We start from the raw sequence: 23,262 nt of genomic DNA, 5'->3' as shown, positions 1-23,262 counted from the left end.
TGAGGCTACAATGGATATTAATGGTTCTACTGTACTGCGGCTGAGTTGGCACTGAAACCACAAGACACAGTCCTCCCCTCTTTTCCCTTCCCCTTTCCAAAGAGGCACTTCAACCTGTGGCTGCTGTCATAGGCCCACAGGGAGTACTGCCAGACTACCACCAATGTTCCCTTAAGGCCCAAGGGCTCTTCAGTCAGCCTTTGGTGAATGATGCCTGGCCTGGTACTGACCCTTCAGTGCAATGGGCTCCTGTCTGGTGCAGAGCAGGACCAGAAATGCCGTATAAGAGACAAGTGCTGGAATCAGGGACCTCAAGAGGCTGCTTGTTGCTCTCCTCCATTGTGGCTGAGCTGGTACTTATAGAGAGCAAGCCTCATAGGCTCACCCAAGGCCCTCAATATAGTACCTGGGTATTGCTGCCGGTTATTCAAGGCGCAAGTGCTCTGCAGATAGCAGGTGATAACTGTTGCCAGGACTGGGTCCTTTCCTTCGAGGCAGCAGGTTCCCTTCTGACCCAAGATGCATCCAGAAATGTCACTCGGGAGCTAGGGCCTGGAACGGCAGCCTCACAACTCTGACCCATACCCTATCCTGCTGTGACTGAGCTGGTATCCTAAATGGAAGACAAAGTCCTCACCACTCTTCCCTCTCCTCCCCTCAAGCAAAGGAAGGGGTTTCTTTTGGAGCTGTGAGCTGTGCAGCCTGGAATTAGGGGAGGGGTGATGCCAGCACTCCCTTAGCCACCGCAGCTGGTGTCTCAGAAAGTTGTGTGCTCCCCAGTCCACTGACTCTGGGCCAAGTTCAGCACTAGTAGCAGCTCATCTAAAAGTTGCAGTCCTTGTGGCCTAGACTGTCTTTCAAGTTTAGTTAGAGTCCTATAGCACTTTAGCCTGCAGCAGTGAGGCTTGTGGGAACTCAAGTTCCAACAACCCGGATGGGTAATTCCCCTCTGGCTAGGGCTGGTTTAAATGCTCTATCTGTGGGTGGGCATCAGCTGAGTTTGGTCCAGTTTTGCTGTCTGCTATAACAGGGCAGCACTGAGTTCAAGGCCTCACAGTTCCTGTGCACTCTCTCTCTCTCCCCAGTGCACAGAAACACTCTCCACACTATGTCACCAATGCTGGGGGTTGATGGTGGGGTTGTGTTGGCAATTCAAGATTGCTTTTTCCTACTTCTTCAGTGCCTCTTTCAGTGATATGGAGTTAAAATGAGGTACTGACTTTTGGTTCTTATAAAAGTGCTTCTTTTGTGTCGATAGTTGTTAAATTGGTGTCCTTGCGGGGGGTAGGTGGAGAGGGTGGTGATTGGTGGAGCCTTCTATTCTGCCATCTTACCCCACCTCCTACAGGTCCTTTTACCAGGATAATTTCTTGAAAAGACAAAATTTCTTCATTGAATTGCCTTTGCACCTTCATCAAAAACCCATTGACCATATACATGTGGGTATATACAGAGAATCTTAATTTTTTTTCTGTCAACCTCTGTGTCTATCTTTTCACTGACACCATACTGTCTTAATTACTATAGCTTCCTAGCAAGTTTTGAATTGAACTACTATGTGTTTGTAAAAGGACAAGTCACCAGTGGCCTTGGCCAATGCAGTTCTTCTCCCTCTTGCTTGCGTTTCTTGGGAAGAATATACAGATAATGCAAAATCCTGAGATAAAGAGGAAATGTCTGTAACAATCAAGGTTTTGTCCTTGTTCTATCCAGAATGGGATGTTCTACAATGCTTGTACTTAGCAACCCAAATGGTACCCATGATATAAAACTCAGAGGAGAGTACTTTTGAAGTCCATCAGTTGCAATATGATGACAATGCAGACAAAACAGGCAGCGTTCCTGAACCTTAGAGGCTGGCTCACCATGGATCCTAGGATTCTGTTTACCTTTGTTGCCTATCTGAGTAATAAAGTTGCTTTGCCTGACTTGTGGTACAAGTGTTCTGTCTCACTGGACCAGACTCAAGAACCTTTGCAGAGTCCTCCAATAGTGCTCTTCTTTTACAAAACCGATTGATTATTCTATTTCCCTTACCTTTCAACATAAATTTTAAAATCAAGTTGTTGATTTAAATAAAAAGTACCCTACTGGATTTTGATTTGAATTTTATTGAATCTATAGATCAATTTTGGGAGAACTAATATCCTAATCATATTGAACCTGCCCATCCACAAACAGAGCCCATTTATTTATGTCTTCTTTGATTTCTTTCATCATGGTTTATGGTTTGCAGTATATAGATCTTGTGTATTTCATTAGATTTACACATAAGTATTTCATGTTTTCCGTGCCATTCTTAATCATGCTGTGTTATTAATTTTAATTTTAAACTGATGATTGACAGAATAACAATAAAACTTTATATTAAGGGGCAGGCCTAAAAAAAACTTTATATTAACGTTGAACCTTATAATCTTGCTGACACTAAATAGTTCTGGTAGATTTTATGTAGATTCTTTGGAATTTTCTATTTAGATAATCATATTGGCTGTGAAAATATGTAGTTGTATTTTCCTTTATCCAAATGGTATGCCTTTTATTTTATTTCTTTCTAACACCTCCAGTATAATGCTGAATAAGAACAGCAAGATTGAACATTATTGATTTTTTTCCTTATCTTGGGGCAAAGCATTCAGTCTTTCACCATTGAACATGATATCAATACAGATTTTCCTAAATGCCTTTATCGAGTTAAGAAAACTCCTTTCCATTTTTAGTTTACCATAACTTTTCATTATGAAGAATGCTGAATTATGTTAAATAATTTTCCTGTTTATACTGAGATTATCATAGGGTTTTTCTTCTTTAGCCTAATGATATGGTGATTACTTTGATTGATTGATCTTCAAATGATGAACAAGGCTTTTATTACCAAGATAAGCCTCACTTTGTCAGGATATATTATCCATCATATAAATTGCTAAATTTAATTTGCTAATACTTTGTTGAGGATGTTTGCCTCTATGTTAATTCTAGTTTTGAAATTAGGGTTTTGGAATCTCTTTTTCTCATAAAATGAATTGCAAAGTGCTTCTATTTTCTGAAAAAAATCAGTAGAATTGTTAGTATTGATTCCTTATATTTGGTCAAATTTGCAAATAAAACCATTTAGGCCTGATTTTTCATTAGGAATTATGAAAAATCCTGATGCAGATTTTTCATTAGGAATGTAGTTTCTCCCAAAGCTATAGAATTTTCAGGTTATCTATTTTTCTTAAGTGAATGTTGGTAGTTTGTGTCTTTCAAGGAGTTTTCTCATTTCCTTTGAGTTGTAGAATTTATAGATATGATTCTTTAGTATTCCCTTATCAGTCTAATGTCTGTTATATCTGTAATAATATTCCCTCTGTCATTTCTGACACTTTGTGCCTTCTCTCTTTTTAGTCATCCTGAGCAGTAACATTGATCTTTACAAAGAATTAGCTTTGTTTCGTTGATTTACTTTATTTTGTTTCTGTTTTTAATTTCATTGATTACTTGCTCTTATCTACATTATTGTTTTCCTCTGCTTACTTTGGGTTTAATTTGTTTTTCTTTTTCCAGTTTCTTAACATGAAAGATTAGTTTATTGATTTTAGACCTTTGTTCTTTTCTAATACATGTATTTAATGTTACAACTTATCCCTCAAACACTGCTTTACCTGCATCCCCATATTTTGATATATTATTTTCATATTCATTTCATTAAAAATATTTTCTAGTATTCTTGTGACTTCTTATTTGTCCCTTGAATTATGTAGAAGTATGTTGTTTCATTTCAAAATATTTGGGGGTTTTCCAAACTTTTTTTGTTAGACCACTTGATATTATTTCACATCTCTAGGGTAATCTGTACTGTTTTTTTTTTCTTCACTCTTTTTTTCTCTTTTTTTTGTTTAACAGAATAATTTTCATTGACCTATCCTCACATTCACTGATTCTTTCCTCATGCTTGTCAACTCTTCTGATAAGGCCATCAAAACGATACTTCATCTTGATGACTGTTTCTGTCTGATAATACCAACATTTGGTCATCTCTGAGTCTATTGATTGCCTTGCTCTTTACTATGGATTATTTTTCTTCCTTTTCTGTACATCTCATACTTTGTTTATTATTGAAAGGTATAATGTTTAAAACAGTATAGATTAACATAAACAATATTCATGCAAAGAAATGGGTACACATCTTCTCCTGAGCCATGAGGTAGGGAGGAGCATTGACTCAATCTAGTCAGTCCAGCTGTGCTTGAGGTTTCTGTTGCAAATTTTTCTGGTTACTTGGTGCTTAAGGTGAGTATTGTTTTGACAAAGGGTTTTTCTCAGTGTTCCTATTTCACCCTTAGCTTTGTCCTTCCTTGTGTGTCAATGTCCCAGAAAGAGCCTCTCTTCATGCCCTTGTCCCTTCTTCCATGGTAGATTGCTGTTGCTTTCTACCTGGTGCTGCCTAGCCTACTGGGAGAATGAGTGAGATTCTCTTTTGTTGGTGATCAGCCTCAATCCTAGGTAGGTCTTCTGTTCGTGTTATTTTGTAGGGTTAGGGAAAGGCCTTCTCAGTGATCCTGTCCTCTTCTCCACAGCATTAGAAAATCTCTAATGGTCTGGGCCCAGGACAGTTTCCTGTCTCTCCCCAGGACGGTTTTCTGCCCTTCCTCAAGAAGTTCACAGCTTATTATTTTTCCATTTTCCCAACCACAGGGATCTTCATATGTGTCTTGAAGTCACAGAGTTTGCTGCCCTTCTGCCAGTAGCATAACACTTTAGTGTTCTTAGAAGAAGGGCATGAGGGAGCTTTATGTCTTTCCCTTTGAGGCAGCTACCCTCCCCCTCCAGGCCTGCATTAGTGAGGTCTGGTCTCCTGCCCTGACCCATCTTTCTCATGAGTGCCCAGTGGAGGTCCAAAACAAAGAGGTACTAGGTAGGAACAAATTCCCTTTATGTGCAAAGTCTCTTTACGTCTGTGCTCCCGGAAATTCTATACTCTCATACTAGCCCACATTCAGCCTTTAGAAATTCATTTTTAAAATTTAGCCAAATTCTTCTTACCTGTTTATATGGCAGTTCATCCTCTTCCCCTGCTCCCTTTTCAAAAGTGAGTCAGTATTTGTGTTCTTTCTGCTCTGCCTTTCATTAGATTTTAAGCTAGATGGTTGGCCTGTGACCTCAATTTCTAATAAGTTAAATGAAAGTTATTTTGCAGATTATCCGGATTTTTCTTTTTTATGACGGGATTGATGATGCCTCTTGCAGCTAAGTCCTCCAGGGTTTATTTTAAAGGGAACAAAATTATGTTAGGAAGACAAGGTCCTTAGACCAGGAAATATAATTCTAACTTAAAGAAAGCAATAAGTTAGTTGGTTCAATAAACTAACTGATTTGGCATTAATAGTCTATGACTAATGCTAAATAACTGTATTCTATTCGTCTTTGATTGAGAAGATGATGGTGTTAAATGAAACTATGAGAGATTTTGCTCAGTCTGTAAAATTGGGGCTGGAAGCTGATTTGTAAGTGAAAAGAGTATATTTAACTAAATTAATGAAAAATATAATGGTAAGTGCTAAATCAGGGGTTCTTATATCTTTTTTTCTTTGTACAAGGAAGCCTTTTATGATCTATGGACTATTTCTCAAAACAGTGTTTTTAAATGCATGAATTCAAATATAAAAATTATAAAGAAAACCAATCATATTAAATTACAGTTTCCTAAGTATTTTTATTATGATATATAAATATACATCCTTCCTATTATACGACATTAAATAGCAATATCTAGTGTGGGCCTAATTGCTATAATTTCAAAGTAGTGGTAAGAGTAAGTGGCACTTTGTGATACCTGCAAAAATTGTAGCATGATATGAAATACTGTGATTTCCATTGTTAAAAATCTTGGATATCACTAATACTGCTGAGCTTTATTGCCTACATTCAAATTAGAGAAAATGCTGAACTTCAGTTAGATGTTAGTGAAAAATAAAGATGTAATCTTTTTCCCACCTAAGTTCACAGACTCCTCTAAATTCTATATCGAGATCTCCCAAGGGGACCCCTGGCTAAGAACCTCTGTGCTAAAAACAGAGAACCATCAACTGCAATCAGAGATAGAGGTAGGAAAGACAGAGAAGGCATCAGGGGAATTCCATGTGGAGGTCCTAGCATCTGAAAAATTGTGTAACTGAGGATGAGTATAGTACAATCCGGAACTAAAAGTAATTTGGTGTTTGTTTGTTTGTTTTTGAGATGGAGTCTCACTCTGTCACCCAGGCTGGAGTGCAGTGGCGCAATCTCAGCTCACTGCAAGCTCTGCCTCCCAGGTTCATGCCATTCTCCTGCCTCAGCCTCCAGAGTAGCTGGAACTACAGGTGTCCACCACCACGCCTGGCTAATTTTTTTTGTATTTTTAGTAGAGACGGGGTTTCACCGTGTTAGCCAGGATGGTCTCGATCCCCTGACCTTGTGATCTGCCCATCTCGGCCTCCCAAAGTGCTGGGATTACAGGCAGTAATTTGATATTTTTAAACACTACTACTACTAGTTACTATTTTAAGGGTATTTTATAATAAATATCAAGTACTGTATTAAGTATATTACAAATATTTTTCATATAATTAATTTCATGATTTGGCTCTCTGCTTGCCTATTTTTGGTGTAAAGGAGTGCTTGTGATTTTTGCCCATTGATTTTGGGTCTTGAGACTTTGCTGAAGTTGTTTATCAGTACTGTATTAAGTATATTATAAATATTTTTCATGCAATTAACTTATCACAACATCTCTTTGAGGCAACATATTTGATACCCATTTTAGAGATGAAAAACTTGGGATCTAGGGAGCATGATTCCTCCAGCTTTTAGAATTGTCTTGGCTATAGAGGGTCTTCTTTGATTCCATACGAAATTCAAAATAGTTTTTTCTAATTCTGTGAAGAATGTCAATGGTAGTTTGATGGGAATAGCACTGAATCTATAAATTACTTTGGGCAGTATGGTCATTTTCACGATATTGATTCTTCCTATCCATGAGAATTGAATGCTTTTCCATTTGTTTGTATCCTCCCTTATTTCCTTGAGTAGTGGCTTGTAGTTCTCCTTGAAGAGGTCCTTTGCATCCCTTGTTAACTGTATTCCTAGGTATTTTATTCTCTTTGTAGTAATTGTGAATAGGAGTTCATTCATGATTTGGCTCTCTGCTTGCCTTTTGTTGGTGAAAAGGAATACTTATGATTTTTATACATTGATTTTTGTATCCTGAGACTTTGCTGAAGTTGCTTATCAGTTCAAGAAGTTTTGGGGCTGAGATGATGGGGTTTTCTAAATATAAGATCATGTCATCTGCAAAGAGAGACAATTTGACTTCCTCTCTTCCTATGTGAATACGCTTTATTTCTTTCTCTTGCCTGATTGCCCTAGCCAGAAGTTCCAAAACTATGTAGAATAGAAGTGATGAGAGAGGGCATCCTTGAAGGGAATGCTTACAGCTTTTGCCCATTCAGTATTGGCTGTGGGTTTGTCATAAATCGCTCTTATGATTTTGAGATGTGTTCCATCAATACCTAGTTTGTTGAGAGGTTTTTCTTGACATGAAGAGATGTTGAATTTTACAAGGCTATAGTAACCAAAACAGCATGGTACTGCTACCAAAACAGATATATAGACCAATGGAGCAGAACAGAGGCCTCAGAAATAATACCACACATCTACAACCATCTGATCTTCCTCAAACCTGACAAAAACAAGCAATGGGGAAAGGATCTCCTATTCAGTAAATGGTGCTGGGAAAACTGGCTAGCCATATGCAGAAAACTGAAACTGGACCCTTTCCTTACACCTTATACAAAAATTCACTCAAGATGGATTAAAGACTTAAATGTAAAACCTCAAACCATAAAAACCCTAGAAGAAAACCTAGGCAATACCCTTCAAGACACAGGCATGATCCAAGACTTCATGACTAAAACACCAAAAGCAATGGCAAAAAAAGTGAAAATTGACAAATGGGATCTAATTAAACTAAAGAGTTTTTGCACAGCAAAAGAAACTATCATCAGAGTGAACAAGCAACCTACAGAATGGGAGAAAATTTTTGCAATCTACCCATCTGACAAAGGTTTAATATCCAGCATTTACAAGGAACTTAAACATATTTACAAGAAAAAACAAACAATCCTATCAAAAAATAGGCAAAGGATATGAACAGACACTTCTCGAAAGAAGATATTTACGTGGCAAACAAACATATGAAGAAAAAAAAGCTCATTATCACTGGTCATTAGAGAAATGCAAATCAAAACCACAATGAGATACTATCTCACACCAGTCAGAATGGTGATTATTAAAAAGTCAGGAAACAATAGGTGCTGGCAAGGCTGTAGAGAAATAGGAATGCTTTTACACTGTTGGTGGGAATATAGATTAGTTCAATCATTGTGGAAGACAGTATAGCGATTCCTCAAGGATCTAGAACCAGAAATACCATTTGACCCAGCAATCCCATTACTGGGTATATATCCAAAGGAAAATAAATCATTCTACTATAAAGACACATGCACACATATATTTATTGCAGCACTATTTACAATAGCAATGACACGGAACCAAGTCAAATGTCCATCAGTGATAGATTGGATAAAGAAAATATGGTATATATACACCATGGAATACTATGCATCCATAAAAAAGGAACGAGATGTCTTTTTCAGGGACATAGATGAAGCTGGAAGCCATCATCCTCAGCAAACTAACACAGGAACAGAGGGCCAAACACCGAATGTTCTCACTCATAAGTGGGAGTTGAACATTGAGAACACATGGACATGGAGAGGGGAACAACACACACCAGAGCCTGTTGGGGGTTGGGGTGGTGAGGGGAGGGCACATAGAAGATGGGTCAATAGGTGCAGCAAACCACCATGGCACACATATACCTATGTAACAAACCTGCACATTCTGCATGTGTATCCCATTTTTTTTTTAGAAGAAATAAAAAAAAAATAGTTGGGATCCAAAGATTTTAAACAACTTTCCTGAGATCCGGTAGCTTGAATGTGGCAGAGCATGTATTTAACACAGCTCTGTTTCATTCAAAGCTCCTGAGGGGCTTTGGATGTGTTTTTCTCTGGGTGGAAGGCAGGCATCTCACTCTGGAAATGCTCAGTGATAAAGAGACTTCAATGCCAGGCTGAGGGTTGTAGATTGGATCCTGAAAGCCACTGTGGGGTCTACTTTCCAACTTCATCTCCTGCTTCTTTGTACATACCTTCACCACTTTGTATCATTGTCATTACCAAACATAACTTGATTTTCCTATGTTCATGCTTTGCATGTTTTTCCCTCTGCCGGGTATGCCTTCCTTCCAAGTATGCCTCCTTCTCCTGGCTAACTGGAACTCATGTTTCAAGACATCATGGGAACTTCCTCTCTAGTTTACAAATGTAGATTGCTGCTCCTTGCTTAGGAAAGCTGGAATCTTGAGCTTTCTAGAGGTAGGTAGAAAAGAAAGCAGGACAGGCCAGGCGCGGTGGCTCACGCCTGTAATCCCAGCACTTTGGGAGGCCGAGATGGGCAGATCACGAGGTCAGGAGATCAAGACCATCCTGGCTAACACAGTGAAACCCTGTCTCTACTAAAAATACAAAAAAATTAGCCAGGCATAGTGGTGGGCGCCTGTAGTCCCAGCTACTCGGGAGGCTAAGGCAGGAGAATGGCATGAACCCAGAAGTTGAAGCTTGCAGTGAGCCGAGATCGTGCCACTGCCTGGGCGACAGAGCAAGACTCTGTCTAAAAAAAAAAAAAAAAAAAAAGGGAAAGCAGGACAAGGGTAGTCCTAACAAGAAAAGGTAATGAAATACGGAGTACAAGCACCCAAGGGTTAAATATTTTCAAAGCTGCCTTCTGGAGGCAGAAAGAAATGTAGAGTCACATGAGCAAGGGAGAAAAAAAATAGATGGTTTATTGTCTATACAACAAAACCGTTGAGCTTATAGGGACAATAAAAGTACCAAGAACAGACTGAGATGGCTGCTGCTTTCTTGAACAATATTGTCTGGGGCTCAGCCCTTATAGAACATTTTTATAATGTTTGCTTACATTGCCTTTTGCACCTCCAGTCCTACACTGTTAAATCTAGAATAATAAATGTTTTGTTTTAAAAACCCTTTCTCCAGATACTTTTATAACTTTGAAACTTATAAAACAAGTCAGTATTGTTATTTATGCTTCTTAGAAAACCCTTGTTTTGAAAATTTATACATTCAATGAGTAAAAAGGCACAAGGCTCAATGGAATATATAATGATGAGTTCTACATCAGCAGAACCCCCCAGATTTTACACAGAGGTTGCAAATTTGCTTCTCACAGTCATCTTTTGTTTGCTCCAGATTTTTAAGAATACTAAAACTTCAGATTTTACATAATCATCTGGATTTCTGGCTTCACTTGAAAAAGTGATTGGCACCACTGGGCTTGCAGTACCAAATGGAAAATGCTCTAGCTGAATGCGCTGCCTTTTATAAACTAGACACAGGCATTCCAGTGTGCCATAGATGCCACTATTCTGCCAACCCCAGAGTCTCAAAACACAGAGCCATTCTTGACTGTGCTCTATCACTCTTCATGTTCATTCAGCAAGTCAGGTTCTCTACAATATTCTTTGCTTCAATTACCTCTTCTTAATTCTAACTTCAAGAATGATTTCAAGACTTTATTACCTCCTGATGACAATTATGACAATAACAGTTAACATATGTCGAGCAACACTCACTGTGTTAAGCATTTTACATGGACCATCTCTTTTAATCCTCAAAACAGCCCTTAGAGATGAATTCCATCATAATCCTCATTATATAGTAGAGAATTGTGTGACCCTAAAAGCTTAACACATCTGCCCAAAATCTCAAATCCTGAAAGTGTTGGAATCTCACTCTGGACACTGAATTTTTGACTGTACAAATCGCAGTCTAGGGAGTTTCAAGCTTAGGCACAGGGAGCTTTGGCTCTGGTGCTCTGAAGCCTTTCCAAAGGGGTAGGAAGGAACAGGATGCCTTAAGGGCATCATTTCCCCTTCCAGATGCTCAATGTCCATAAATACTTTTTCATGCACCAAATTCACCTGCTAACTCAACTGAGGTCTCAGAGCCCCTCTCAGTATGACCCTTCTCTCCCTGCTTATCTCTCACCCATCCTGAATCTTACTAGAGTGCATTGGCCAGTGTGTGAAACACTCTAGGCAGTAGATTAAAAAAAAATTTAAGTATTGGTGTAGGTTTTAGAAAAAGTAAATAGCTTTATCAGTTGGGTAACAAATGCTTTGGAGTTCCAATTGAGTTTCAAGTTCCACTTCAACCTGGGATGCAGCAAGCTGGAGTGCCACTGTGAACCTAACAGCACCCTAATAATTTGGTTTGTTTCTTTGTTTTGTTTATGGTTTCTGTTTTGCTATTATTGAGAGGTGAAGCCAGCTGGGCTTCTGGGTCGGGTGGGGACTTGGAGAACTTTTCTGTCTAGCTAAAGGATTGTAAATGCACCAATCAGCACTCTGTGTCTAGCTAAAGGTTTGTAAACACACCAATCAGCACTCTGTAAAAACACACCAATCAGCGCTCTGTGTGTAACTAAAGGTTTGCAAACACACCAATCAACACTCTGTAAAAACAGACCAATCAGCTCTCTGTAAAACGGACCAATCAGAAGTCTGTAAAATGGGCCAATCAGTGCTCTGTAAAATGGACCAATCAGTAGGATGTGGGCAGAGCCAAATAAGGGAATAAAGGCTGGCCAGCAAAGCCAGCAGTGGCAATCTTTTCGGATTCTCTTCCATGCTGTGGCAGGTTTGTTCTTTTGCTCTTTGCAATAAATCTTGCTGCTGCTTACTCTTTGGGTCCACACTACCTTTATGAGCTGTAACACTCACCGCAAACGTTTGCAGCTTCACTCCTGAAGCCAGCGAGACCACGAGACCACGAACCCACCAGGAGGAACAAACAACTCCGGACGTGCCACCTTAACGAGCTGTAACAAGGTCTGCGGCTTCACTCCTAAAGTCAGCGAGACCACGAACCCACCGCAAGGAAGAAACTCCGGACACATCTGAACATCTGAAGGAAGAAACCCCAGACACACCATCTTTAAGAACTGTAACACTCAACCGCGAGGGTCCACGGCTTCATTCTTGAAGTAAGCGAGACCAAGAACCCACTGGAAGGAACCAAATCTGGACACATTCTATTATATATAATATATGTAATATTGTATATATATTATTATACATTATGCTAGCTATTATATTATTACCTTCAATGTACCACAGACTTCAAATTCTTTGTTGCCTTGTGCTTAGGGTGGGGGCTGAGTTGCAAGAGGGTTTTTCCTCAGTGTTCCTGCTTCCTGATGTGCTCTCAGCCATCTCTGTTAGCCAGTATTACCAGGCTGCCCCTCCACCAGCTGCAGCTTGCCGTTTTTACTGTTGTTTCTTGGGGTAGGGCAGCAGTGAGACTCTGTTTTCCGGGTCCAGCCTTTGTCTTTGGCAAGTACCTGGAACTTAGAGAGAGTCTTTCCAGAGTTCTTGCTCCTCCTTCTTGTGGCAACCGCACTCTGCCTTGTATCCATGGTTGGTCTTGGGTGGGAGTTGCCTGCCCTACTTATGATGGTAGCAGATTTCTGCTTGATATCAGCATATATCCTGGGTCCAAGACAGCTTCCTGCCCCTTCCCTAGGGATAGAGGTCTTATTCTTCCACCTCCTCCCTTTGCAGTGTAGATTTTTTCTCACTTCCTGGGGAAGGAGAACAGTACTTGCCCTTCCTCCATTGATGTAAGGCTGTTGCTTAAGGCCAGGGCTTTATGCCCATCCCCTAGCTGCTGCCAATTACTTCCTTCATGCCTGCACCAAATAGGAGTACCCTCTCAATCTCCTGGTCTTCTCTGAGTCTTTCTCATAAATAGCAGTGGAGGATCATAGGGAAGAGCTCATGGGTGATTGTGACATCCTCTTTTCTGGTGATCCCAGCTATTCCAAATTAGCACACTAGCTCACATTTGGCGTTTAACAATTCATTTTTATTCTTGCAGGATTCTTCTTTCCTTTTTATATGCTCTCTCCTCTTTTTCCTGTGCTCTACCAAAGATGAAATCGTTTGTGTATTTTATCTCTCCCTGAAAGGGCTTGTTCCTCTTTAGAATTCCGGCCATTTGGTCTTCTTGCTACTTGAGCTTTATGATGTATTTGAGAAAGTTACACTTTTGTATATTACCTGGATTTTTTTTCTCATTGTTAGGGTGGAAGCAGTGTTTTTGAAGTTTATTACAGTTTATGTAGAAACAGAAATCTTTATTGACCTTTTAAAATAGAACTCTATGGGATGCATATTTTACATATAATATAATTCATCCATTTCAAATGTACAATTGAAGCTTCTTACAAACTGCACGCATTTACCAACCAGCCCTAGAATCCCTGCCTTAGTAAAACATTGTAACTGAAAGGAGTGTCAGAACCCTCAAGTACATATTTGAACATGGGAAATGGTTGGTAAATATTAGCCCAAAGGCAGAAAGTCTATTCTGGAGGCTATTTTGTGAGTCAAAAAAGGCAATTGGATTCATCACCCCACCTGGCCTTGGACTCCTATGATCATTTCCTCCTACTACCTGTTACCCCCGCCTCCAGTCTTCTTCCAGCTCAACCTACTTTATATTTCATAGGGGTGTATTACCATCTTCATAAGTTAGAAAATTTTCATCATCTCAAGATGTTTTTTACCTAGTTGCCCAGGCAACCACTGATGGGCTTTCTGTCTCTATAGCTTTGCCTTTTCTGGCAATTTCAATCAAGTGGAGTCACAACATGTGGTCTCTTGTGTCTGGTTTCTTTCACTGAGCATAATAGTTGTGAGGTCCTTCCATATGCTAACATGTACTAGTAGTTCATTCCTTTTCATTGCTGAATATTACTTCATTGTGTTCATATGCCACATTGTGTCTATCCATTCACCAGTTAAAATACATTAGATTTTCTCTAATTTTTTGCTACTAAGAATAATGCTTCTAAGAACATGTATGTGCAAGTCTTTGTGTGGTTCATTAGTATTACCATGCCCTAAGATTAAGGTCCATGGAAAACTAAAATGACCCAATCAAGGCAGGATTAATGGTCCAGACCCTTCAAAAGTAAAGGTTTGGGTCACCCCACCAGTTAAAAAAAAAAAAACATGACAAGCTGAGGTGCTTGCTGAAGGCGAAAGGAATATGGAATGGTAGTGGAGGATAAATATCAGTTATAACCATGTGACCAGTTACATAAACAAGGACTGTAATTGTCATGAGTATTTCCTTATTATTTTTGTATAAAAATATATTTGTATTGTGTGTATAAAAAAGCAAATATTTTTTTGTTTCCTCTTATCCCCTTATCATATAACATAAGATGTATTGACTTCGTATCATAGTATTTAAGTACTGTTCACTTTATATTATATCATTTTGACTATGGTATACAAATTATAAGATATCAAGTATTTAAGTTATAGACTATCAAGAAGAGTAAACATCACTCAAGGACTTTATCTCCTTTTCTGGAGAAGAAGTTAGTAAGTTTTTAGTTGTATGCGGGATAGTTGTATCATATATTAGGTGGAATTACAACCTTGTCATTGTCTTCATTTGGAGATTAAGTATGACTTAAGGAGATGCATATGGGTGCTAACTTGACAAGTGTAGACACGATGATTAATTTTATGTATCAACTTGACTGGGTCATGAGGTATACATATTTGATAATCATTACTCTGGGTGTTTCTATAAGAGTGTTTTTTGGTAGATTAACGTTTAAATTAGTAGACTGACTAAAGCAAATTGTCCTCCCCAATGTAGGTGAGCCTCATCCAATTTGTGAAAGCCTGAATAGAACAAAAGTCTGACCCTCCGCTGAGTAAGAGAGAATTCTTCCTGCCTGAATGCCTTCACACTGAGATATGGGTTTTTGTCCTGTTTTCAGAGTAGAACCAAAACATTGGCTCTTCCTGGACCTTCAACCTACCAGCTTTTGAACTGAACCTACACCATTGGCTCTCCTGGTTCTCATGCCTTCAAATTCAGACTGGTGAGTAGCCCCCATCTTAAGGTCATCTCGGGGCCCCTCCCTGAATCACTTCACTAGCACAAACTCAGATGTGCTCAAAAAGGGCTCATTATAAATAGGCAAAGATACTCCTATCATTAGGAGATTCTAAGGGTTTTTGGAGCTCTGTCTCAGGAACCAGGGCAAAGACTCAATATATGTCTTATATACCACAGGGAATATTAACAAAACTAAAATCTAGTTCTTAAAAAAACGTTAAGTCGGCCGGCAACAGTGGCTCATGCCTGTAATCCCAGAACTTTGGGAGGCCAAGGCAGGTGGATCACGAGGTCAGGAGTTCAAGACGAGACTGGGCAAGATGGTGAAACCTCGTCTCTACTAAAATTACAAAACTTAGCCATGCACAGTGGCAGGCACCTGTAATCTTAGCTACTTAGAAGGCTGAGGCAGGAGAATCGCTTAAACCCAGGGGGAAGAGGTTGCAGTGAACCCAGATCATGCCACTGTACTCCAGCCTGGGTGACAGAGTGAGATTCTGTCTCAAAAAAAAAAAAAATAAAATAAAATAAGTCTCCCAAATACTGATTGAGAGAAAGAGACAAAATACAGAATCAGAATAAATAACCATATATAATCCAGAAGCTGAAAGAGAGAATATTAAGAAATTTATTAAACAGCAAATGTAAAACCTAGTAGTGACACATTTCCAAAAAATAGAGAATACCAAAATTGTCTTAAGAAAAAACAGGAAACTTACATAGTTAGTGAGCATTAAGGAAATAAAACATGGTAAAGACTTTGTCCCCCTTTAAATAAGCACTAGATAGATTTAGATAGTTTTACAAGTGACAGCTATCAAACTTTTATGGAAGAACTCCTTCTATCTTATATAAGTTGTTCTAGAAAGTAAAGGGAACACCCAAAATTCATTTTATAAAACTTTATACCAAAGCTCATAAGCACAGTACAATAAAAGAAAATTACAGGCCCATTTAACTTAGGAACATAAACTCAAAATCTTAAGTGAGACATTACTTACCCAAATCTACGAATGTAGAAGGTGAATAATATAGCAGTGATAAATATCCATTCAGGTAATGAGAATCACTGTAATTAGCAGTTTTATTTAATATTACCATTTCAACTTATGAGGGCTCATGTTTGTTCACAAGGTTCATTCTGGATTTAGGGCACATTGCAAGCAGGTGTGCTTTAGGAGATGAGACCCAATCATGGCTCACCTTTGAAGGTGTGCCGTCAGTGTCTCTTCTCCTTTCAGGACACTTGTGCTGGTTTACAGCACTGATAATCTCCAATCTCATGCTTCTTATTTGGCAACTTTCTAGTGAGTATAATATCATTTGCCTTGCTTCTATCAAGTTCCTTTGCTCTGTTTTTTGTTTTTTGGATAAACATTGAGAATCACATATGGTCCTGCTTTGTAACCATAGTCTTAAGCCTAAAGTGTATACTAGCTTAAAAAGAAAACTCTTTAATGAGAAAAGACAAAACTTATTATATTGTGTAATTAATAAAGAGAAACTATCTTGGCAGGTTGTGTCCTCAAAATAATTTTTAATTATTGAGGTAATTGGGTCTATTTTAATGGTATTTGGTGGTGTTATAGTAAAAATACTTGTTATTTTGATGCTGAGAATATGTAACATATTTTCTTATTGAAATGAATAGCAACTATATTTGACTTATGATAACTCACTTTTATAATTCAGGTTTTTTAAAAAATTACATTGTTCTAATAAAGTTAAGTGATCTTAACCTCATGATGAAATGAGATTCACCTCAAGAATACAAGAATGTTTTCATAACAGAAAAATTTATAAATATAATTCACTGAAATACCACCTAAGGACTTAAGGATAAAAATTAACACTTATTTTAATAGATACAGAAAAGAACTTGATTAAGTTATTTATATTTATTTGTAATATAAATATACATAATATTTATGAAAAAAATTCTTGAAAAACTAGAAGTAGAATAGAGCCCTCATATTTTTAAAAGGCTATCTGCTGAAATTCCATAGCAGTGATTACACTTAACAGAGAAACTTTAGACATAGTTAGTTTAAGATATAGAAATGACAAAGTTACCACTATTACCTCAGGCCAGCATATAAAAATGAGAAAACATATTAAGAAATAAAAGAAGTTGAAGGGAAGTCACAAGTTGTCATTATTTGCAGATCATATCATATCTGCATTTAACCTAGCAAAATCAAGAGATTTTTCTCTGAAGTACTAACCAATAGATATAAATGCTGAGTCAAAGGCTATATACATATTTAATTTTACTAGATGTTGCCAAAATTTTCTGCCAAAATGACTCTCATAGCAGAAGGATAGAAGAGCCCATTATGCCAAATACTTATCAACAAATTATAATTTTTATACTCTCAAATTTGGCCTATCTAATGAACATGACATCTGTCACTGTGATTTGAATTCTCACTTATTTTATAATTAGTAACATTGAATATTTTCACATATACGTATTAGTCATTCAAATATCACTTTATATGAATTCTTTATTCATGTCTTTTCTTCATTTTTCTTTTGGGTTTTCTTTCCCTTTACTTTGGAGGAGTTCTTTGCTAACTTTGGACACAAATACATTGTTCATTTTATTAATTGGACATAGCTTATGCCTTGCATTTTAACTTGGTTTAGGGTATCTTTTATTGCACTGAAATTCAAAAATTTAATATAGTTAAATTTATCAACATTTTCTTCTATCATTTATGTTTTTGTTTTTGGTTTTTGTTTGTCTTTCAGAAATCCTTTTATTCTCCAGAAAATACATCATTTTCCATTTTCTCCTGAAATTTTAAAGTTCGCCTTTTCACATTCAGATTAATCTACCTGGAATTTGCAGAGGCATGCATGATGTGGTATAGGGAATCTTTTGGGGACTGGGTTTTTTTATTTTTACTTATTTATTTTCGAGATGGAGTCTCACTCTGTCACCCAGGCTGGAGTGCAGTGACATGATCTCAGCTCACTGCAGCTTCTGCCTCTCGGGTTCAAGTGATTCTCCTGCCTCAGCCTCTGTGTAGCTGAGATTATAAGTGCACGCCATCACGCCCAGCTAATTTTTGTATTTTTAGTAAAGATGGGGTTTCACCATGTTGGCCAGGCTGGTTTTGAACTCCTGACCTCAAGGAATCCGCCTGCCTCAGCCTCCCAAAGTGCTGAGATTACAGGCATAAAACACTATGCCCGGCCTGTTTTTTTTTTTAATAGTGTGAATAATCATTTATTAAGTGTTTATGCTTTTTCATCAATATGTCATGACAATTTCTGTTATTTATCAAGCTTTTATTAATAGATTGAGTTCTGCGCTTTTAATTCTATCTTAGTGGTCAATTTGTTTATAGCTATGCAAATGCTACACTGTCTTAATTACAGTTTTTTTTTTTAAATTGATATCTGGCAGGGTGGGCTCCATTATTTTCATCCTCTGCAGATTTAGATATGTATTTTTGGCCCTTTGCTCTTCCATATAACATTTAGAATCAGCTTATAGAGATTTGATAAAATTTGAGGGGGAATTACCATCTTTATGATATTAGAACTTCCAGTTCATAAACATGACATAATATTCCATTTATTCATGCCTTCTTTCATGTCCTTCAATATTGTAATGTCCATAAAAATATTTTATATCTTATTTTAATTTTAGATGTTGTACATGCAGTAGCAAATAGGATATTTTTCTATTACATTTTTAGTAAGTTATTATTACTGCTTAGAAATGCAATTGATAAAATTTAACACTCCTTTATGCTAAAAACTCTCAATAAACTAGGTATTGATGGACTATATCTCAAAATAATAAGAGCAATTTATGACAAACCCACAGCCAATATCATACTGAATGGGCAAAAGCTGGAAGCATTCCCTTTGAAAACCAGCACAAGACAAGGATGTCCTCTCTTACCACTCCTATTCAACGTAGTATTGGAAGTTCTGGCCAGGGAAATCAGGCAAGAGAAAGAAATAAAGGTATTCGAACAGGAAGAGAGGAAGTCATATTGTCTCTGTTTGCAGATGCCATGATTGTATATTTAGAAAACCCCATCATCTCAGCCCAAAATCTCCTTAAGCTGATAAGCAACTTCAGCAAAGTCTCAGGATACAAAATCAATGTGCAAAAATCCCAAGCATTCTTATACACCAATAATAGAGAGCCAAAACATTAGTGAACTCCCATTCACAATTGCTGCAAAGAGAATAAAATGCCTAGCAATACAACTTAAAAGGGATATGAAGGACCTCTTCAAGGGGAACTACAAATCACTGCTCAAGAAAATAAGAGAGGACACAAAAAAATGGAAAAACACTCCATGCTCATGAATAGGAAGAATTAATATCATGAAAGTGGCCATTCTGCCTAAAGTAATTTATAGATTCACTGCTATCCCCATCAAGCTACCACAGACTTTCTTCACAGAATTATTAAAAAAAAAACTACTTTAAGTTTCATATGGTACCAAAAAAGAGCCCATATAGCCAAGACAATCTTAAGCAAAAAGAACAAAGGTGGAGGCATCATGCTACCTGACTTTAAACTATACTACAAGGCTACAGTAATGAAAACAGCATGGAACTGGTATCCAAAACAGATATATAGACCAATGGAACAGAACACAGGCCTCAGAAATAACGCCACACATCTACAACCATCTGATCTTTGACAAACCTGACAAAAACAAGCAATGGGGAAAGGATTCCGTATTTAATAAATGGTGTTGGGAAAACTGCCTAGCCATATACAGAAAACTGAAACTGGACCCCTTCCTTACACCTTATACAAAAAGTAACTCAAGATGAATTAAAGACTTAAATGTAAGACCTAAAGCTATAAAAACACTAGAAGAAAACCTAGGCAGTACCATTCAGGATGTAGGCATGGGCAAAGACTTCATGACTAAAACACCAAAAGCAGTGGCAACAAAAGTCAAAATTGACAAATGGGATCTAATTAAACTAAAAAGCTTCTGCACAGCAAAAGAAACTATCATCAGAATGAACAGGAAACCTACAGAATGGGAGAAAATTTTTGCAATCTATCCATCTGACAAAGGGCTAATATCCAGAATCTACAAAGAACTTAAATTTACAAGAAAAAAACAAACAACCCCATCAAAATGTGGGCAAAGGATATGAATGGACACTTCTCAAAAGAAGACATTTATGCAGCCAACAAACATTAAAAAATGCTCATCATCACTGGTCATTAGAGAAATGCAAATCAAAACCACAAAACCACGATCTCATGCCAGTTAGAATGGCGATCATTAAAATGTCAGGAAACATCCGATGCTGGAGAGCATGTGGAGAAGTAGGAATTATTTTACACTGTTGGTGAGAGTGTAAATTAGTTCAACCATTGTGGAAGACAGTGTGGCGATTCCTCAAGGATCTAGAACTAGAAATGCCATTTGACCCAGCAAGCCCAGTACTGGGTATATACCCAAAGGAATATAAACCATTCTACTATAAAGACACATGCACACATATGTATATTGCAGTACTATTCACAATAGCAAAGACTTGGAACCAACCCAAATGTCCATCAATAATAGACTGGATAAAGAAGATGTGGCACATGTACACCATGGAATACCATGCAGCCATCAAAAGGATGAGTTCGTGTCCTTTGCAGGGACATAGATGAAGCTGGAAACCATCATTCTCAGCAAACTAACACAAACCAAATACTGCATGTTGTCACTCATAAGTGGGAGTGGAACAATGAGAACACATGGACACAGGGAGGGGAAAATCACACACCTGGGCCTGTCGGGGGCTGGGGGGAGTGGGGAGGGATAGCATTAGGAGAAATACCTACTGTAGATGGTGGGATGATGAGTGCAGCAAACCACCATGGTACGTGTATATCTATGTTCTGCACATGTGGAGAACTACAAACCACTGCTCATGGTCAGGTATTTTATAAACAGTATCCCTCAATTGGGAATTATCTGGTGTTTTTCTCATTGTTAGACCGGGTTTTTTGAACTGGGGGAGAAGGACCACAGAAGTAAAATGCCATTTTCATCACATCATATCAAGGGTACACATTACAATTTTCACTGCTAGTGTTGATCTTGATCATCTAGCTGAGGTAGTGTTTGCCAGCCTTTTCCACTTTGGAAGTTAATCTTTCTCCTTTTCCATGCTGTATTCTTTGGAAAGAAATAACTATGCAGAGAATAATTACTTTTTTATTTGGGTTTTTAAAATTTATCTTCTCATCAATTGTGTTGTTATATACCACAAAAATATGTCCTCTGTGTCAAACTTTGCAAATGTGTTGGCATAAAGTTACTCTAGTGTTCTTTCATGAGAACACCAATTCAGATGTGTATCCTGTTTTATTCCCCAAATAATCTTTAAAAAATCTTCCTGGTGTCAGATGTGATATACCCTTTTTCATTTTGAAAATTAATCGCTTCTGTATTTTCTTTTCCCCTTGATCAAATGTACTAGAACGTTGCCCACTTTCAGTGTGCTCTAAGAGTTAGGTTTTATTCTGTTGATCATCTCTATTGTTTCTTTGTTTTACCTCCTATTAGTATCTTTTCCATTTGTGATTTCTTGATTTCTACTTTTTCCAGGTTTACTGTGCTATTCTCTTCCTATTCTTGACTTGGACACCTAGCACATTTAGTCTTAATTTTCACTGCTATTTAATAGCTGCATGTACAGTTACATATTTCCCTCTCAATATAATTTGGTGGCATTCCCTAATGTTTGATATAAAGTACTTTCATTGTTATTCATTGTCAAATATTTTGCAATTTCATTGCAATTTACATTTAAATGATGAATTTGAAAGTTGCTGAGATTTCCTTTGTGACTCAGTATGTAGTCTATTTTTGGGTTTCATGTGTACTTGAAAATAACGTATTGCTTCTCCACTTTTCACTGGATTTTTTACACTACCTTTCTGGAATTTTTAAAATATAGATAGTGATATTATTATTTCTTTCCTCCATATTTTTAAACTTGTCTTTCATGTTTTCTCAACTCTATATTCCTTCTTGATTATTTCTGGGAGAGTTCTTCAGCCTAATCTTCCAGCTCACTAATTTGATTTTTGTATACATTCTACTCGTGCACCAGACTACTATTTACTTCAGTTATTATACTTTTCAGACCAAGAAACTTCAACTGGTTCTTCTTTCTGATGTCTTGTTTCTGTTTTGCATTTTACATATTTGTACCTTATCATTCTCCAATGATGTTGATTACACTTAATTCTAATTCTTGCTCTATGTGTTCTACTGCCTTTTTCCTTTTGCACAGCAAAACAAATAACAGAGAAAACAGGAAACCTACAAAATGAGAGAAAATATTTGTAACCTACACATTTGACAAATGACTAATATCCAGAATCTACATGGACCTCAAACAAATTAGGAAGAAAAAATAAATAGTTCTATTATAAAGTGAGTAAATTACATGGACACACATTTTTCAAAAGAAGACATACAAACACCAACAAACATATAAAAAATACTCAGTATCACTAATCATCAGGGAAATGGAAATTAAAAGCATAATGAGATACCACCTTACCCTAGTCAGAATGGCCATTATTAAAAAGTAAAAAACCAACAGATGTTCGTGAAGATGTGGTGAAAAGGGAACACTTATGCATTGTGGGTGGGAGTGTAAATTAGTACAACCTCTGTGTAAATAGTATGGAGGTTTCTCAAAGAACTATAATTAGATCTACCATTGACTGCAGCAATCCCACTACTTGGTGTCTACCCAGAGGAAAAGAAGTCACATCAAAAGACATCTGCACGTGAATATATATTGCAGCACAATTCACAACTGACGAACACATGAGTGGATAAAGAAACAGTAGCATATATATGCTACATTTATATATGGATACAATATAAACATATAATATATAAATATATAAAAATTTAAAATGAACAAAATAATGTATTATATATTATATACTATATATTTTATATTTTATAATATATAATTTATATATATAAATTACATTTTAAAATATAATATATATAAATTATATATAATATATAAATTATTTATATATATTATTAATATATCATATATTATATATAATATATTACATATAACATAATACAATATATAATCATATATTATATTACATTATATTATATATTATATTTTAAATAAATTATATATT

General features: G+C 37.1%; 2 protein-coding genes across 8 annotated transcripts in view; one reads left to right on the top strand and one right to left on the bottom strand.

Annotated features, from left to right (window-relative positions):
• Positions 1-23,262, bottom strand: part of NXPE2 (neurexophilin and PC-esterase domain family member 2) — a 349,427-nt gene that overhangs the window by 150,393 nt on the left and 175,772 nt on the right. Inside the window, exons 1-2 of one of the 3 annotated variants that reach the window (XM_011542604.3) lie at positions 12,265-13,376; positions 11,885-12,068 (exon numbers count right to left, since the gene is read on the bottom strand). The exons of the other annotated variants lie outside the window; for them this stretch is intronic. The gene's annotated coding sequence lies outside the window, so the exon portion shown is untranslated. Of the gene's footprint in view, positions 1-11,884; positions 12,069-12,264; positions 13,377-23,262 lie in introns of those variants that run through there. 3 annotated transcript variants of the gene reach the window in all.
• NXPE4 (neurexophilin and PC-esterase domain family member 4) overlaps positions 1-23,262 on the top strand; it is a 107,660-nt gene that overhangs the window by 14,941 nt on the left and 69,457 nt on the right. The window contains exons 1-2 of one of the 5 annotated variants that reach the window (XM_047427151.1): positions 11,766-11,801; positions 14,965-15,069. The gene's annotated coding sequence lies outside the window, so the exon portion shown is untranslated. Of the gene's footprint in view, positions 1-11,765; positions 11,802-12,107; positions 12,148-14,840; positions 15,070-23,262 lie in introns of those variants that run through there. The other 4 variants (XM_047427149.1, XM_047427147.1, XM_047427150.1 and 1 more) reach the window with 4 other exon arrangements.

Source organism: Homo sapiens, chromosome 11, assembly GCF_000001405.40.
Source record: "Homo sapiens chromosome 11, GRCh38.p14 Primary Assembly".
Classification (NCBI taxonomy): domain Eukaryota; kingdom Metazoa; phylum Chordata; class Mammalia; order Primates; family Hominidae; genus Homo; species Homo sapiens.
The sequence above is the reverse complement of the archived record's forward strand: the minus strand, read 5'-3'. Positions and strand labels throughout refer to the sequence as shown.